Source organism: Homo sapiens, chromosome 5, assembly GCF_000001405.40.
Source record: "Homo sapiens chromosome 5, GRCh38.p14 Primary Assembly".
NCBI lineage: Eukaryota > Metazoa > Chordata > Mammalia > Primates > Hominidae > Homo > Homo sapiens.
The window spans coordinates 135627916-135646173 of NC_000005.10; the positions used below are offsets into that span (position 1 = coordinate 135627916).

An 18258-nucleotide genomic window follows, 5' to 3' on the forward strand; every position below is an offset into this window, starting at 1 on the left:
GGGGGTGGGGACTGGGGCCTGAGATGAAGGATACAGGCCCTGCCCACCATGAACCCCCTGCACACTGAGAATGCTGAGGCATGCACACAGGTGAGGGTGATGTGAGGCACCACCTGAGGAGGGTGGCTCAGGGAAGTTGGAGAGGGAAGCCTCCTTTGACACAAGGAATTTGGCTTCTCTTCTAGAGAAGGTGACATTTGGCTGGGTTTGAAGGATGGGTAGGATCTGGGGAGGTGCTTGTAGGGGTGATACTCATAAAAGACATTCTGGGATTAGATGTGGAGTCTAAGACTCCAAATTTCTCTGAATAACTGCAAATTTCCCAATTGCCCATCTATGCCTTAGTAAAGACTCCAAAAACCTTTTCGTGGAGGTGCTACAACTACAGAAGGGGGTCAATTTACACCCCGAGGAACCTGGGGAGAATCCCTCGGAGGTTTTAGGCAAATGCAGAATATCTTGAAGGTCCCTTTCTAAGGCTGGGTTATCCTCTGATGGACTCTACTTGGGATTTAGGGGGCTTTCCATATATCTGCTCATGGAGAGGGGAAAAGGTAAGTTGTTGGAGGAGAGAAGAACAGAAGACGGGTGACATCAAGTTTGGGTTCCAGAGGTCTTCTGGAGAGATCATCCCAGTAGATCTGGATTAGTGTAAGGCAGCCTGAGGATATGGGTCCAAAGGGAGGTGACGTTGGGCAGATTTACATCAGTCAATGGATGGCAGTGTCTTCAGCAGTCTCTGTCTCTGAGCATGAGGAGACCTGTCTTAGAGGATGGAAACGCCTTCACCACACCCAGGAATATGGCAGAACAGAGATGGTAGATATAGGACAAATACAAGAGGAGCCTCTCTCCCTCTTTCATTCCCACCTGTCCTCCCTCCCTCCTATTTTGGAGGGATGTCAGAGGCGTCATTACCAAGATGGAGGGCGGGATTCGAAATACATCATGGATTTAATAATGGAGATTTGTGGGATTTCATCTTGCATGTCTCAGACCCCTGAGGCCACCCCATGTCCAGATGAGCATATGTGTGAAGACAAGGATATATGTCCACAGCACTGGGGCCAGGAAGCTGCAGCTGGTGCTAGGTTAATTTCCAGAATTAGGCTACAGTCCCTTTTCATAAATTCCCCAGCAGTTAGAACAGCCATTAAACTGTGACTTTTTAAGGAGGAGAAATTTCATTATAGATCCAATTTTGCCTTGGGCTGCTGTGGATCATTTCACAGAAATTCAGGGCTAGAATGGCCCTGAAGTGTCATCCAGTGCCAGAATCTCCACCGTTATAGCCTTTTTCTTTTTTCTTTTTCTTTTTTAGCAGCCCAGCTTAAAGAAAGAAAGGAGGAAAAAAACCCTGCTGGACGTTGGATGTACAGCCAAACACCTGGGTTGGGAATGCAGAAAACAGGCATGGAATGCCAGGAACGCAGCACCTGTGGCTAAGTTGTGGTCTCACAGGTCAGTGTGGGCCCTGAGCACAGGACCCCACAGTGCCCCACTTTGTTGGCTGCCCCTGAGAGGCAGTTGGGTACACAGGGGTTGGGGGTGGTTGTCAGCCTGGTGTTATAAACGATCTTGGGCTTTGGAGCCACATAGACTTGGCCTCTAATCCCAAGAGACCCTGGGAGGTGGGGGTGGAATGTGGAGTGAGGAAGTAAGAGATGGAAGGGAAAGAAGCCGATAAAAGATGTGTTAGCCAGCAGGCTGACTCTGTGGGCGCCTGAGGATGCATCAGGCTCAACAGCTCTGGAAGACGGTGTGAAATGTGATCAGTTATCACAACCAAGGAGCGAGGGAGCTGGGGCATTGATCCTTCAACTCCCCATCCATCATGGGTGGAGGGTTGCTCTCAGTGGTAGGGCATGTTAACTCTCCAGCACTTCTGGCCTGCTCTGCACATGGGCTGAGTGGGCCCATTGGCCAGAGAAAACCCTAGGGCAGAAACTATCAAGAACTTGCCGAAAGTAGTTGGAAGTCACAGGCATGACATGAGAATGAGGAGGAGAAACGGGCAAGGCACCAGCAGTGACTGCCACAGGTACCTGCCACAAGACCCCAGAGACTCATGATCTGATCAGTCCATCTGTGTGCACCTGCTGGGAACCCAGTGGATGATCCTCTTCACTTCCACCAGGAGGATTTGTTCTTACCCGCAGCTTAGGAAGGGATCATGCATATGCCAAGGAATGAATGGCTCAGCTAGAATATGGGAGGTCACTGAGAGTTCTGGGGAGGCAGGCCATAGTCACCTTTCTGCTGATGTGGAGCCTGTCTGGACTGGAGGGTACCCCTGGGCTCAGCAAACTCCCTTAGACACATGGGCTTGGCTGGCTTCCTCCTGCCTCTGCTGTAATCCCAGGAGGCCTCCTTGAAAGGTTTCTTCTGCTGCTCTTTCTAAGAAAAATCTCTTCCTTAGCTTTGAGACTTGAACACTCAGCCCCATGAGGGTAGTTTGGAGAAAACTGCCATAGCTAAGCTCATTCTCATGGGGATGAGGAAACCAATACTCCAGCAAAAATAGGCAGATCCTTGACTTGAGCATCCAGGGATGGGGACTTCAGGATAAAGCCAATGGATGGAAATTTAGAAACTAAACATTCCTCTTTCTTCTGGTGCTCAGGGTGGAAGGATAAGAGATGAAAGCAGGGGAAGATGGTTAGGCTGGGCACCTTTTTTTTTTTTTTTTTTTTTTTTTTTTTTTTTGAGAGAGTCATGCTCTGTCTCCCAGGCTGGAGTGCAGTGGAGTGATCTTGGCTCACTGCAACATTTGCCTCCCAGGTTCAAGTGATTCTCCTGCCTCAGTCTCCTGAGTAGCTGGGATTACAGGTGCCTGCCACCAAGCCTGGCTAATTTTTGTATTATTAGCAGAGATGGGGTTTCACCATGTTGGCCAGGCTGGTCTTGAACTTGTGACCTCAAGTGATCTGCCTGCCTTGGCCTCCCAAAGGGCTGGGATTACAGGCATGAGCCACCGTGCCTGGCCTTAGGCTTAGCAGTATTCTAATGAGCACATCCCAGGTACTTAACAATAACGCTCCTGGACCTGGGCCTTGTTTGAAGCTGGCAGCATCATCTCTACACTGTTGGACCAGATAGAAGACATGGAATATGCCAAAGCCTTTGAGTCCTTGTCTTCCTGCATCGACCCTGAACTTCCAGCAGAAAGCCTCGAGTTAGATGCATGTACATTTTTCCTTTGGAGAAATAGACAGTTTTGTGGCTAGCTTTATGATGATCAAAGGTCAGCTGGGCTGAGCGTGGGGTTCTCCAGGTAGCATTTTGGACATGGTTTGGTTAGGAGAGTAGAGAATGGAAAATGAGAAAAGGAAATAGTCTGTAAGAGGGGCTTCTTCATTCAAAGTATTGATTGGCTCTGCATTCCTCATGGTGGGATTCCTTTAATGGACTGATGTGTTTCCTGGGAAGTGGGCTCAGAGTGCGCAGGTTATGCTCTAACTTTTGTGTCCAAGATATGGAGGCGGAGCCATGGCTTGTGCCTTTGGGATATTGGCAGCCTTTTATCTTCACAGGGCTCCCATCTGTTTGGCAGCTCAAGAATTGCTCTGTGCAACTGGCAGTATAATAGTTCTCATTTTAGAAAGGTTTCAGGCCTATTTAATGCTCTGGGAGGCCAAATTCAAAGCTGAAAGCTCCAGGGTGACCCAACAAATGGCTAATTTTCCAGAACTAATCTGTCCTGCTCAACTTGTCCCCTTTTGTCTCCCCGGATCAGCATAACTGTCAAAGTCATTCTCATGTTGTACAAAATGACAACTGTAATCGCAGAAGAGTGGAACAGGGCTACTCCAGAGGGGAGAATCTGTTTTGAGGATGATTCATTTAAAATGTTGTTCTATGAGGTTGCTTTGCAATTTATCCCTATACGGAGGACTGCCACATGATTTAAAGAGTTTCTCAATCCCATCTTTAGTGTAAATTTAAATGGGTGTAACTTCCTGTGGTATATTTTTGCTCTTTATCTATAACACTGTTAAGCAGAGGACTGCTTTTGAAGTCCAACCCAGGGGAGGGGGAGGTCTTTGAGACGATGTCAGCCCACAAGTGCCTCCATGTTGTTTTTCTTCAGAGCCCCTCTACCTATGTGGTTCTTGGCCTCCTGAGGATGAGGATGAAAGAGGTGTGTAAGGCTAACTTCAGTGTGACAACACATGTGGCCTGATTGTCTTTTGCAGCATCCTTTGGAGGCCCGATCCATGGTGACATCATGAGTTAGCAAGATGACTGGGTCATAGAAGATTCTGTCTTCTGTACTACAGTGCGTAGGCTTTGTCTTGAGGGCCATGGGGAGCCACTAAAAGGTTTCATGCAGGAAAGCGGCAAGGAAGTTTGCTGTCTTAGAAGACTGACTCAGGCTTCCATGTGGAGGATGGATTAGAGAAGGGAACCTGGAGGCACAGCGACCTATTAGGAGGTAGATATGTTTACCCAGGTGGGAGAAGGAGTGGTAGCCTGGACTCAAGAAGGGTTAGATGGAATGCCAAAGAGAGGCACAGTCAAGAAATACCTAGGAGGTAAACTTTAGCATGCTCAGGGATTGATTATGAAGTACAGAGGAAGGAGAAGTCTAGTTTCTGGCCAGAAAACAGAATGGGTGTACAAAGTCAAGGTTGATTCTGGCCTCTCTCATTCTTGGGAATGTCTCCACAGCACCAGGAGGGCTCTTCTCTATTGTAAAAAACAGAGAGGAGCCTGGGCAGAACAGTAGGAAGAACATTCAAACCCATGTTTTGAACTATTTTTTAAATCATCATTTCCCAGATAATGTCATTATACTAATTTGAAAGGGAGCAATCCAATTCATTTTCTATTTGTGGTTGCCAGCCCCATGAATACTTAATGGTTTTGGATTACAAAGCCTTCAGCAGTGGCTCTCATGCAGTCAATAGGATTGGAGGGCGAGGAGAGGCCAGTGTTGAGGTATTGATAGGCTGTGTACCTCCTCATGTGTCTCCTGCTTCAATAGCGTCTATTTTGAGCTGAGTTCTTTCTGAAGCTCCGGCAGGGTGAGGAAAATGAGCATGCTTCCTGCTTCCAAGGCTGGCTGTCAGAGTTCAAGAAATGATCTGTTGTGACAAATGGCAGTGGCTTCAGGTTATGTGGGAGGACTGCAGCCCTAAGACGGGCAGTTATCTCTGCAGTTTAATAGTGATTTCAAGTGGGGGAGGGCAGCCAATCTGTACAAGGGGAAGATGACAGACTGTGGATGGATATTATTTTTATAGGTTTCTTGAAAGAAAGTGGGCTGTACGGTTTATTCACAGACACAATGCCCATGAGAAAGGTGCCTGGGCTGGAAGAACTGTGTGCTTGAGGCATAGTGAAACTCATCACAGACATTGCTAGGGACTGAATTGTGTCCCCCTGCCCCACTCATATGTTGAAGCTCTAATCCCAAATGTAACTGTATTTGGAGATAGGGCTTTCAGGAGGTAACTAAGGTAACTGAGGTCATAAGGGTGGGGTCCTAATTCAATAGGGTTGGTGGCCTTATAAAAAGAGGAAGATCTCCCTCTCCCCTGACTCTCAGTGCACATGCCAGGAAAGGCCATGTGAGCGCACAGCAAGAAGGCAGCCACCTGCAAGCCAGGAAGAGAGCCCCCTCCAGAACCATGCTGTCTCTTGATTTTGGATTTCAAGGCTCCATAACTATGAGAAAATACATTTCTGTTGTTTAAGCCACACGCTTTCTTGTGGCAGCCCAAGCAGACTGAGGTAGACATGTAGATGTGAGGATGATCTAATAGTGTCTCATTTGAACAAAACAAGTCCACTCTCAGGGTACCAAGTTGAGAACTGAAAATGAAAACTAATTCTTCTGGATTTAGATTTTTAATCTAATGGAGAGGGAGGCTGATTTTCCTTTCCTCTTCTTGCATCAGTGATGTGGCAAATATATTGTTTGCTCAATTTTAAAATCTGCATAAATATTGTGATCTTTAAATTTTTTTTAACTTAATTTAAATCTTATATTGGCAAATGGCTAACATATTCCTCACATAACTTCTGAATTCTCTCAGTATCAGGGAGGGTAGATGCATTTCTCCCAGAGCTTGAGCTATTTTCAGAGACTAAATTAGAATTGGGCAAGGCCGAGTGCATTCTTCTACTTCTGTTGCTGTGCTATGGGGGTACCTTGCCCATGGCTCTATCTCTCACCAGTCCTATTTGCTCTCCAAAAACAAGGTAAGAAGGCAGGGCCAATTCTAGACTTGCCTAGGTGGTGTGGGGGTGCTGTGTGTGCTTGGCCTGTGGACTATGCTGCCTCCTCAAGAGGGATGTGGTGGACACTTCTGTTAACGGCCAAGGAGACGATGCTGGCACAGGGTCCATCCTGCAACCCAGTGTACCAAATGCAAATAACAGGCATCTCTTCCAAAATCATCTAGGAGAAGCCATTCAGGAGGGAAGGGCGAAATACCTTCTAGAGCTGAGCTGTGACCCAAGGAGTGGAAGTTCTGGCTAATGGCCAATCATCATGGGGCCATGGGACTCCTAAGATATGTCCAGCTTATGTTGAACTCAACACCATGGAAGGACACTAGAGAAAGAGAAGGCTTGGGCCCTACCTTCCAGGAGCTCATGATTTCCCTAGGGAAACAAGACAAACCCAAAGAGAAGGTCATAAAAGACTGACTTGCATTGGAAGATTTTTGAGAAGGGAAAGCAGTGATTTGGGGTTCAGTGTTGTCCTGGGTGGATGACATAGTTGACACCTGTGTTTAGAAAGGCCTTCTGGAGGAGAGGAGCTTGTTTGGACCCTCAAAAGGGGGTGAAGTCTGGGAGTCCCAAGACAGAGCTCCAATGGCTTCCTCATTTGTTTGCTCACTAGGCAAATACTTTTTAAGAATCTGCTGCATGCCAGGCCTGCGCTGTGCCACCGTGTTAAGAAGAAACCAAGTAGCCATAGCCACATTGGGGAGAGTCATCTCTCCAGGGCAGATGGGGCTCTAAAGACCAAGAACTCTGGAGCCAGATGAATTCCTTATTCATGGGAGGAAGACAAGTGTCACCCAGGCAGTGAGTACTGCTGTTGCTGCAGCTTTGTTTTATGACAATGGCTAATTGCCTCCATCTGTGTCTCCTCTGACTCCACATACCCATCCTTCTTCCCGGTGGCCCCCCATGTCTCTGTTCCACATGGGAACAGGATTCCTGGGGCTGGCCTCTGAAGGTGTCCTCTGTCTGCAGGAAAACTCTAGTGATTGTGACTCTGCCCTCTGGCCTCTGTGGGTGTACCAGCGTGTGGAATCCAGGGCTATTCCACAACTGCAGTGGGGTTGGTGGAACATTCTCCTGCCACAGATCAGGAAATCATCTCAAGACATCTGCCAGCTCAGGGCTCTGAGAGGGATTGCTTGCCAGATGCTGAAACTGCGTTTATTGAGCTGGGGTCTGGTTGTAATGGTAGTGTTGGATTCAGACCTCTGCTAAGTCCATAATTAAACAGGTAGAGTGGACAGACCTGGGAAGCTGGTAATGATAACACCAACAACAGCAACAATCCCAGGCATGGGACCTCTGTCTCCAGCTGGGATAAGAGATGTTTTGAAACCTTGGCACTAGAGGAGCCTTAGAGGTTATCTTACCAGCCAATGCTTTAGTGCAGGATTTCATCTACAGATTTTCTTAATACTGGTCATTTTGCCTTGAATGAATCAGTGGTATGCTGGTAAATGTTTAACAAGTGGCTCTCTGGAGAAAGTAAAACAGTCTTGATTTGCGGTTGTCAGTTTCCATGGTATAAATAGTCCCACCACGGCTGGTTTCAATTTACCAACAAGACATCCATGAACGCAGAATTGGGAAGAGATACTGACAGCTAGCTCTCACGAGAAAGTATGAGCCAGATCCTGCATACCACTGCTTTAATGGGATACCGCTAAGTGACAGGAAACCCACTACCTCTTGGTACAGCCCATTCCAGTCATCGTTCCTTCTGTCTGACGTCTGTCAGATTTGATACCTTTTTGAGGACCAAAGTAAGTCCATCCCGAAGCAAATGTCAGAAAATTATACCCAGCCAGAGTCTGTCATTCTTTCCTATTAATGAGTAGTCCCCCAACTCCCCATTCCCATTTCTGGTTCCTATTTCTACAGATATTTAAAGAAGAAGGGAGTTAAGATTAGAGGTGAATGATTCTCATGAAAAAAGAGTAATGATTATGTACTGGTCTTGGATAATAATCTTGTACTGACCACCAGATTGCCCACATATAGGTTACTCCAGATCTAGCTCATTACATTTCCAGTTAATTTCATTCGACAATCACAATAAAGCATCTACTTTGTGCAGGCCGTGTGCTGGACACTGTGGGGAAACAGTGAGTGAGGCATGGTCTCAGCTCTTGGTGGCTCACTGTTTAATGAGCGAGAGACAAGTCAGCCAAGACTCTTAAGTATTTTGTTCCATGAGAGAGGGGCAGAGAATGTGCTTGGAGGTCTCCAGTTGTAGAAAGGTCACTTCTGACTGGATGGTCAAAGAAGATGATGTGAAATTTTAAGCCTCAATGGTAGTCATATGTAAATTGCTACAATGTTTGTGGTTTGCTATTTTTGGTGTCCCTGCTATGGAAAGGGACCAGTTTCTGTGTCTGACTTCTAAGAGCAGAGAACACCTTCCCCATGAAGCTCTGGGTAGCTTCTGTCACACATATGGCTGCAGGAATCTGCTCACGTTGCAGTGACAGGCAGGGGATTTAACAGCACCATCATTAGGCCTGATCAATAGCTCAGCATGTGGAGTGGAATAAGCCCATAGTTCTTGTATTAGAAACATCATCTGTAGCAACTGCATGCACAGTAGCCAAAGTCTTTAGATATTGGACTCTGGTGCCAATTTTCAACTTCCGTTACCTCGAGGTTGAGTAACATTATATTCACACACCAGAAAACATGTGGGCTATTGATAGCCAAACCAAGCCACGTTCTGCATCTCTGCTGAAGTGGGGTCTGCTTCCCACGGGACTCAGGAGGAACTCCCCAACTTCTATGCTGCCTTGGTGCAGAGGGATAGAGAGGAAGAGTGGGTATCCGTTACGAGTAGGGTGGAAATATAAAAGATGACCTTTAAAAGCCAGCTGCTGTGAACAAACACAGCTACTCACAGCAGTAAATGGCATTTGTTTAATAGCCATTTAGATTTGGAGTTGATATGCACAGTGAGTTAAACTGACCCTGTCTCTGGCCTTCAGAGTTTATAATTTATCACCAATGTGGTCAACACAAATCACCAACAAGTAAAATTTCTATCACATGCTGGTTCTGAAAATGGTGAAACAACCTACACAGTGAAACCATACCTTCCTGCTGGAGTTGAACCAGAGGAGGAAAGCTTCGTAAAGAGGTGGCTGCTGCAGAATTCCCAGGATTTCCAGATTAAATCAACTAATTAATTAATTCTCTTTCTCTCTCCTCTTCTTCCCCCCGACCCCCATGCCTCCCACTTCTTGGAAAGGAAAGTTCGAGCAAGCATGAAGGAACACAAAAAAGAGAAAGATGTTACCAACTTCAAGAGCTTCAGTCTCTGAAGCCAATCAGGGAAAACTGGATGAAAGATTGTTGAGGGGTTCATTTATTCATGGCCCCTAACTCCTTAGTGTTTTCATGCTAAAGATCAAGATGAGGAGTATAGCAATTTTATTTAACCCAGCAGGTCTTCTTTGGCCAATGTGTTTTTCCATCGGGAGAGAAATGCAAGAGTGCTGAAAACTCTGGTAGATAGCAAAGCACAGAAAATCCCTTTCACAAGTAGCAGAGACTTTGGTTACAAGGTGGGTTAGGGGGCTCAACCCCTGTTCTTTGTTAAGGTGGCATCCTCAGCCTCCTGTCATTTTTCGGGAAACTAATTGGAGACTCTACTGACTAGGCAGGCCACATAGACAAGGCCTGTACTGGATGTTTGGGCTGTATTTGTTGTTGTTGTTGTTGTTGTTGTAGCTCAAGTACTTTGATTCCTGGCATCAGAAAAGCCCAAATCTAGATCAAGAATGAGTATGTTTTTCATCACTTATTCTATTTCACCAATTTTAAGATATACTTTTCTCCTTATTTTCCACATTTTAACATCTATAAAATTAAGGGCATTGTGCAGTTACTGTCAGCCACGGAACAGTTGTGACATAGTTGTCATCATCTATGCATGTGAAGACCTGGTCTTAGCTATTAACATATTCGCTGCAATTGTGTTTTGAAGCTGTATGCATTTTGATTCTACATATGTTAAGTTTAATTGAAATTTGTAATGTTTTAAAATAAATTATACTATGCTTTGGTATTGAAATAAAACAAAAAAAGAGTAGATGTAAAACTGATATTAGTGAAACAAATATTAATATTTGTCACTGGAGAAATAACCGAAATTCTGTATTTTCTTGCAGAACACCAAGTACTGTGTGAAAATATGGCTTACACTTTAATGTGCCAACAAATCAAATCACCTGGGAATATTGTTAAAAATATTTGGTAGGTGGGGGAGGGGAGGCAGCAGTTCTTCATTTGTAGCCAACACCCTGGTGATATCAATGCTTCAGGTCCAGAACACAGTTTGAGTAACAAGGCTTTACAAGACCTAAACAAATAAGTTAGCCACAAGTAGATAAAACTGTGCTCATTTTGTTTCTGAGTTGTGTGCAGTGGATTGTGTATCACTTAAGTCATGCTACTAAAGGAAAGAGAAATACCAAATCCCCAGGGATAGGATGAAAGAAATTTTGAAGCATTAGTGGTGTGATTGATTTCATGTGTCTCACATGGCTATTGATAAGGTATCATGTCATAGTTTAATTTAGATACCAAATATAACGTCTTATGATCAATTGGCCTCAGATTTAATGAAAACCATAATCTGCATACATCATTGTCTTTATATAAATCGTGATACACCATGTTTCAACTCTATATAAGCACTATATGAACCTTTCCTCTGCATCTTGTCAAGAAAGCCAATGACAAGGTATTATGTTCTCAAAAAAACCCAGCAAGACAAAACACAATCTTAAATATAAATGACTTTCATTTCTTTCAAATTTTTGCTCTCACCTTCTTCTTCTAACTAAATGGATTAGATACTACATTTTAAATTGAATTTTCAAAGAACTTAAGTAGTATTAGTCTCATAGCCACGCTGTCTGATTAACCAAGAAGCTAAAATACGAAAAATATGCGGCCCAAAAATGATATTCAGATACCAACAGATATGAAAAGTGCATTCAATATGTTCTTTTGGGCAACAGTTACTTGGCACAGCTGGGGCTGTTAACTACCAACTTTGTCTTTATAATGGTTCTAAGATCATCAGAAGTTACTTTTGTGCATAAAGGGCTATAGTACAGCAAGGGAGATGCCAGACAATGAAAACTTTCAGTCTCACAGCTCTTATGTGTTGTTCAGAAAGCTTTATATTCCACAAACACCCATCACCAGCTTTTTTGAAAAAATAAAATATAGCAAATCAAAATTGACAGATGAGGCAGAAATCAGAGTTTGGGCATGCAATGGGGTAGGATATTGTAGATGACAAGAATTGTTCAGAAATTTAAATAGGAGTCCTCGGATTCTTGGCTGAGGGCTGCAGTGTTTGTGTATAGGCGGGGAGAGTGGCTGCTCAGGGTTTGGGAGCTTAATATAAATATAAGAGGTCTCAAAGAGCTCAAAGATGAATTATGATCAAGCCAGAATGGAGAGAACTCAATAAGCATCTCAAACATTCAGTTATTATCTTGGAAAGGTCATGTATTAGGAATAAGGACCATGCTCTAGAGTAAAGTTCATACCCTGAGACTAAGGAAAAAGAAACAAAACCCAAACTAGATCAGTTCTAACAAAGAATAAAATCAAACTCAGCAATATCAAGAGGACCCACCAATGACAAGTATCTTCTAGAACAAACAGCAATAGCTTTTAAAGGATGAGAACATTATTCAGATTCCCAAACAGTGGGAACAGTGTGAGGAATACAACAAAAATTACTAGACATACTAAGAAGCAGTAAAATGTGATTGCTAGTCAAGAAAAAATAAAAACCATAAGGCAACCCAGATGTTGTAATTAGCAGACAAGGAATTAAAAACCTTACTATAAATATGTCTAAGAACTTAAAGGAAAAGATGGACTTAATGGGGAAACAGATGAAAACTGTAAAAACAAACCAAATGGAAATTTTAAATTGAAAAGCACAATATCTAAAATGAAAAATTCCTTGAACTAGATTAACAGGAGATTGCAGACTGTGGACGAAAGGGCCAGTGAATTGGAAGAGAGAACAATGGAAATGTTTCAATCTGAAGAATTGAGAAAAGAAAGAGTTAAAAATTGAACAGAGACTCATGTCCTATGGGAAAATAGCAAGCAATCTAACATATGAGTAATTGGAGGGCTTCAAAGATAAGAGAGAGAATGAGGCAGAAAAATACTTTAAGAAATAATTGGCTCAAAATTTCCCAAATTTTTTGGAAAACATCAACTTCAAAAGATCAGCAAACCCCAAGTAGGATTCATTTAAAAGAACCCATACCAAGGGACATTATAGTCACTGGCTGAAAACAAATAAAAAAGAATAAAACCTTCCGCATGATACAATACCTGACAAAATATTATACAAGAGGAAACTAAAGACCAATATCCCTCTGAACACAGACAAACATAAAAAATCCTTAACACGTTATAAGGAAATTGAACCCAGAAATATATAAAAAGTATTATACTAGTTATGACCAATTGAAATTTATCTCAGAAATAGAAGCTTGGTTTACCATTTAAAAATTAATAATCATAACTCACTATGATTAAAAGAACAAAAAAGAAAAACCATATGATCATCTTGATAAATACAGGAAAAGCACTTGACAAAAATTTAACACCCATTCATGATCAAAATTCTCAGAAAACTAGGAATAGAAGGGAACTCTCTCAATTTGATAAAAGGCATCTATGAAAAATCTACAGCAAACATCATACTTAATCATTCAAGACTGAACATTTTTCCCCTAAGATCAGGAATAAGACAAGGATGTCTGTACTCATCATTTCTATTCAACATTTCGTTGGAAGTCATATGCACTGAAATGGAGCAAGAAGAAATTAAAGACATATAAATTGGAAAGAAATAGAACTGTCTTTATTCACAAGCAATGTCATCTTGTATGTAGAAAATCTTGAAGAATCTACAGAAAAAAATACTGGAATTAATAAAATGAATATCATTGCAGGTCAACATACACGATTAATCAGAAGCTTGGCTTGGGACGTGTTAAGTCTGAAATGTCAGGTTGGCAGTTCGATTTGAAATATAGGGTTTGAGGAAGAGGCCTGTCATGGAGAAATAAATGTAGAAATAGATTTTAGAAGATATTTGTGACCTTTGGATGAATGAAATCCTCTAAGGAATAAGGATGGAGAGGGAAGAAGAGAGGTCCAAGGACTGAGAGTCCTTTGGTGCAGAAAGTCTTTTAAGTTTCACAGTTGGCTCTTTCTCTGGGTCCTGATTGTGAGAAGAGGGACTTGTGGGGCTTGTGCTGTAGTGTAGACTCAGTATAAATCAATATTTGCTCCAAGGGACTCTCATTTGAAGAACAACATAGGCTCCCAGAGGGTACTGGAACTCTTGCTTACATAGTCAGTTCTTATTAATACTAACTGATGCTCTCCAATCAGCATTAGTGATGACCTCTTTGGGTAGCTGTAGGGCAGAATTTGTCCCTTCTGGCTTGGGAAAGGGGTCATATGAATCTTATTCCCTTGCTTACCCAACAGGAGGCATTTCTGTGATAAACTCCAGCGCTGTTTCTTTCTTTGGCTTTTTTATTATGCTTTGGCATCTCATCTAGTCCATGTGCAGTATCTGTCTCTGGGGCTCTGTGGAAACAGGAATGCTCCAATACATCACCATCATCCCCTTCATCACCATGCTGCTAGTCGCAGAGTGCTCACTTGGACATCTCACTCCTCTTCCACCCCCAGAGCCTGGAAGATGAAAATGCTGGGCATTTCATATAGCCTCAGGCTATTGACAACTAGTGTAATACATAGAGCCAGATGGCTTTACATATTTTTCTGAAGGCAGAACATAGCTTGTCTTTTCTAAGATCTTATCTCTTTAATGAGCAGTGGTAGTATAATTAAGGCCTTTCTCCAATGCTATGGATATGCCAAACCTACTGGGAAGTTTGTTTAGCTTTCATAAATCAAATTGGTTTGGACCTTCGCACGCTTGGGGGCCAGTTCTGACATCTACTGATGGTGGCTGTCATAGTGGTGTTTGGTTTTCTCTTCTCACAGGGAAATTACCTTTGTTTAGAGGGAGGCTTCTCTGATGGTGCTGATTACTAGGGCCAGATGGCTGCTTTTAAGGCAAAGGTAGAGCTTGGGATGAAGGAGTGTTGCTCTCAAGTGGGAGGTGTGAGAGGTAGCAGGGCTCTGGGAAGGAGCCCTTTGGCATGGAGCAAGTTCTTACCTGGGAGAACCCAGGACTGCCCTGTCAGGGACAGCCCCTGCCTGGTGGGCAGGACCAAAACCCCTTAGGTAGCTTGCTTGGCTCTGCTGGCTCAAAGAGGTCTACAGCATGGTTCCCCAAAGAGCCGGGTGGAAATAGATGTATTTGCAATTTGCATTCTAAACAAGCTGTTTGGAATAAATATGCTGGCTACATTGTTTTCTTGGCTCTTATTCATTGGTTAATAATGTGTTATTTTTTTGGAAATAGCTCTTTCTCTGTTGGCTTGAAAGATGAATCCAAGGGAAATGTTGTGTTGGATTCTGTGCTAATCTTTCAAAACAACATGTGTGCAGGAGTGGTTTGGTCAAACCTGGCTACGATCTCATAGAAACTCATAGCGAGTGGTTCCAGACAAAAGGGGAACTGAGGATGAGATGAAAATGCTCTTGGCAGGTCCTGACTCAAATGTGGCTCCTGATGGGCACTTGCTCAAGAGTAGAGAGAAAAGGGCACAGGCTCAGATGGTATCCACAGGACTAAGCACATCACTTATGGCTTCTGCAAAGAAATTGAGAGACTATCTCACACATAGGCTCTGAGGGAAAGGACCCAGGCCAGTGGGAGCCAGGGCGGCAGCAACGCAAGTCCTAAACCCCCAGCACACAGGAAGGGAAGTGGGCAGAGAACAGTCAGCAGTCTGGGGTGCGCTGAATAGACTCAGCCCCCAACATGTATGTCAGCCGTCCCGTCACCCGGACTGCGACACATCCTTGGTGGACACGATGTATTGTTCTGAAGCAGGTTCTTTTTACAGACACAGCTGCTTGATTATGTTTTTGAGTTGCTTCCTGACGGGCGGTGGGGAAAAAGCTGAGAACAGCTGCAGCCTCAGTGAGAATGAGGCCAGAGTCCTTGTGTGTTTTCAGCCCTTCTCAGTCTGGGGCTGAACACACAAGACTCTGTGAAGAGAAGGCTGAGCTGAGTTTCTAGGCCCTTCTATGGTGACCAATTCAGAATGTCAGTCAGCCACACTTGCAGGAAGAGCCTCTGGGCTGGAAGTAAGGGTGGAACAAGAATTGGTTCTTGGTGCCAAGATGGCCCCATCACTGCACAGAAGAGCATCTCCCATCTAGCCTGTCTCTCATGGGCCTTGCTCTCCTGCAATGCTAATGAAGGGGTGACTTGCCCTCTGCCCCACTCAGAGAGGTCAGGACAGACACCATCTCAGCCTTCGCAGAGTCAACTCTCCCAATGGAAAGTCCGGTCCTTTCAGCCAACATTTATGGGCATCTCGTCATGCCAGAAACCATGTTTTTTCTGTGGGACAATCTTGTTCTTGGCCTTGGGGAGCTCCCAGGTTAGTGAGCAGCGACCCCGTTAACTCGCACAAGTTCTCAGAGCAGCAGCTACCAACATTTACTGCACTAATATGTGGCAGACATTTTCACCAGCATCATCACATTTAATCCTCCCAACAATGCCATGTGTTTAGCGCTATGATTATCATCTTATTTTGCAGATGAGGAGATTAAGGCTTAGAGAGCTAAGTAACTTGACCAAGGCTGCTGCTAGTAAAAGGAAGAGCCAGGGTTTAAACTCCAGAGCCCACACTCTTTATTAGAGCCAGAGGACTGATCTCAGAGAAAATAGATACTTTAATCTAGTTCTTATGATAAGCATTTGATGTTACACACTGTGCTATGGAGGGGCCAAGGAGGTTATTCAAATAAAGAGATTAGAGAAGGCTCTTTGGAGAAGATGATTCATGAGACAGACTTTGAAAGACAAATGGAATTTCAGCAAGTTGCGGATGGGGAGAAAAAAAAAACCCAGTAGGAGGGCCAGCCTTTGCAAAAGTGTCAGAACTGAGCAGGGCATATTTGGACTGAGAAGCCTAATATGGTGGGAACCTGGGACTTGTGAAAACAGGTGGTGGAAGATGACACAGGACAGCTAAAATTCTGGAGTCTGACTTTTACCGTCTGACACAGACGGTAAAAGCCATGAGGGTTTGGGGCAGTAATGTTTCTGATCTGAGTGCAGATTTGTGATTGATGGTGACATCTGATGAACCCCAGGTGCACATGTCTCTAGGCTGTCTGGGGCAGTGCCACCTGCTAATATTAATGAAAATAGCCAGCATTTGTTCTAAGTGTCTGCATCACTGCCATCATTCCAGAGGCTTTATATTCATTATCATTAGTCTTCATCATAGCCCTGCAAAGCAGATAAGAAAACTGAAGCTCGGAGAGGTTAAGTCACCTCCCTGAGGCCACCCAGCTGATGAATGATGGAGCTAGGAGTCAGACCCAGATTTGTGTGGTTCCAAAGCCATGCTCTTTGCACAACACATGGAACTTTTCCCCAGAGATTAGAAATGAAATGAAGACCATTTTTCTGCTCATCCTCATGCCCGGGAGGTCACTTTCCCAAGTGTAAGTTGACAGTGAGGCTGCCACCTAGCACTGATTTTACCTGCAGGGAGGGACTTTCCACCAAGGCTTTCCATTGCCATCACTGTTGACTTCTGAGCTGGGCTTACCTACAGTGGAAGGCAGTGCAGTCTCTGAAGAGAGAACTCCAGTTCAAATACAAGAACTCTTGTATTTGAAGGCAAGGGGGATCCGCTTTCCTGTCTCCTGCTCCATCTGTCCCCATTCTAAAACAGCCAAAGGCTCCACAAGGCTTCCTCTGCACTGCTCAGGTGCACGCCAGTTTGGAATGAAACCAACTCTCAGCCAATTAAATGGCGTACGGGAGCGTTGATATAATTCCGAGAGTAAGGACTTGTGGACAGTTTTCCCTTTGGTTGTTCACTTCTTTTGCATTGTGTTTGAGTGTACAGATGTGGAGCCACAGCTGGTTTCCTCCTTTCTGTGAGGGCCCTTTGATAGCCAGTCAACTGAGTTTTCCATTGTTATTTTTCACAGGTCTAATAGCTGTTGGCAACCACTTTGTGTTATTTTGTTCACATAATTATTCACTGAGCATGAAATACCCCTGAACAACCATCAGCGTCTCAGCTGTGGCCTTGCTAGCTGGCGTCACCACTAGAAAGTGGTTAAAACCTTGAGGACGAAATGGGGATTTTTTTCTAATAAGATTGATTCAGCCACTAAGCGCAAAGCCTGACACATGTGTTGAGTTCGAATTCACTCTGAGTTGCTGTGACATGGTTGCGCAAGTGCCCTGAGTTCTGCCAAGTCTGTGATCATAACCCTTCTTAGAAAAGTGTTTTTAGGGAAGACAGGTCAGCCTGGTCTCTGCTGCTCATGATTGAAATTGAGGGCAGAGACTACTGGACCCCACATGAAACCTCTTCCTTCCTGCCTGGGGCTTGTCCTTCAGTGGCTCATGTTTTACTAGCAGCTGCTTCATAGTTCCAGCACTCAGGAAAGCATAGATACCCAAAAGAGAAAACTCAGAGACTTTAATCTGCTCTCTGCCTGTGTAGGCTCATGTGCTGTTTGGAGAGAATGTAGAACTTCTCCCTTTATCTCATAACTTGAACTACAATTGCTGGCAGTGAAGTTCAGGGCCAAGGGAGGAGTAAAGAGAATAGGGCCAAGGGATTGCATTGATGGGCATGACCAGGCAATAAGATGGCCACAGGAATTCATTCTTAATAAGAGACTTGGGAATAGCTGCAAGTTTTCTGTTTGTGTGAAAAAGAGCCTTAGGAAGTGTTTTGAATCTTGAAAAAAAATCTTATAAATAGAAGGAAGAAAGAATTTTCCCTTAGTAAGCTTCTGAGGATTACGTTCCAAGGCCCTAGGGGAGGAAATAGGAAAGAATTTAATTTC

At 44.0% G+C, this 18258-nt stretch overlaps 1 protein-coding gene across 2 annotated transcripts in view; it reads left to right on the forward strand.

The window, feature by feature from the left end:
* Window positions 1-18258, forward strand: part of SLC25A48 (solute carrier family 25 member 48) — a 309466-nt gene that overhangs the window by 48744 nt on the left and 242464 nt on the right. For both annotated transcript variants that reach the window (NM_001349335.2, NM_001349345.2), the window contains exons 2-3: window positions 1322-1461; window positions 6854-7041. The gene's annotated coding sequence lies outside the window, so the exon portion shown is untranslated. The remainder of the gene's footprint in view (window positions 1-1321; window positions 1462-6853; window positions 7042-18258) is intronic.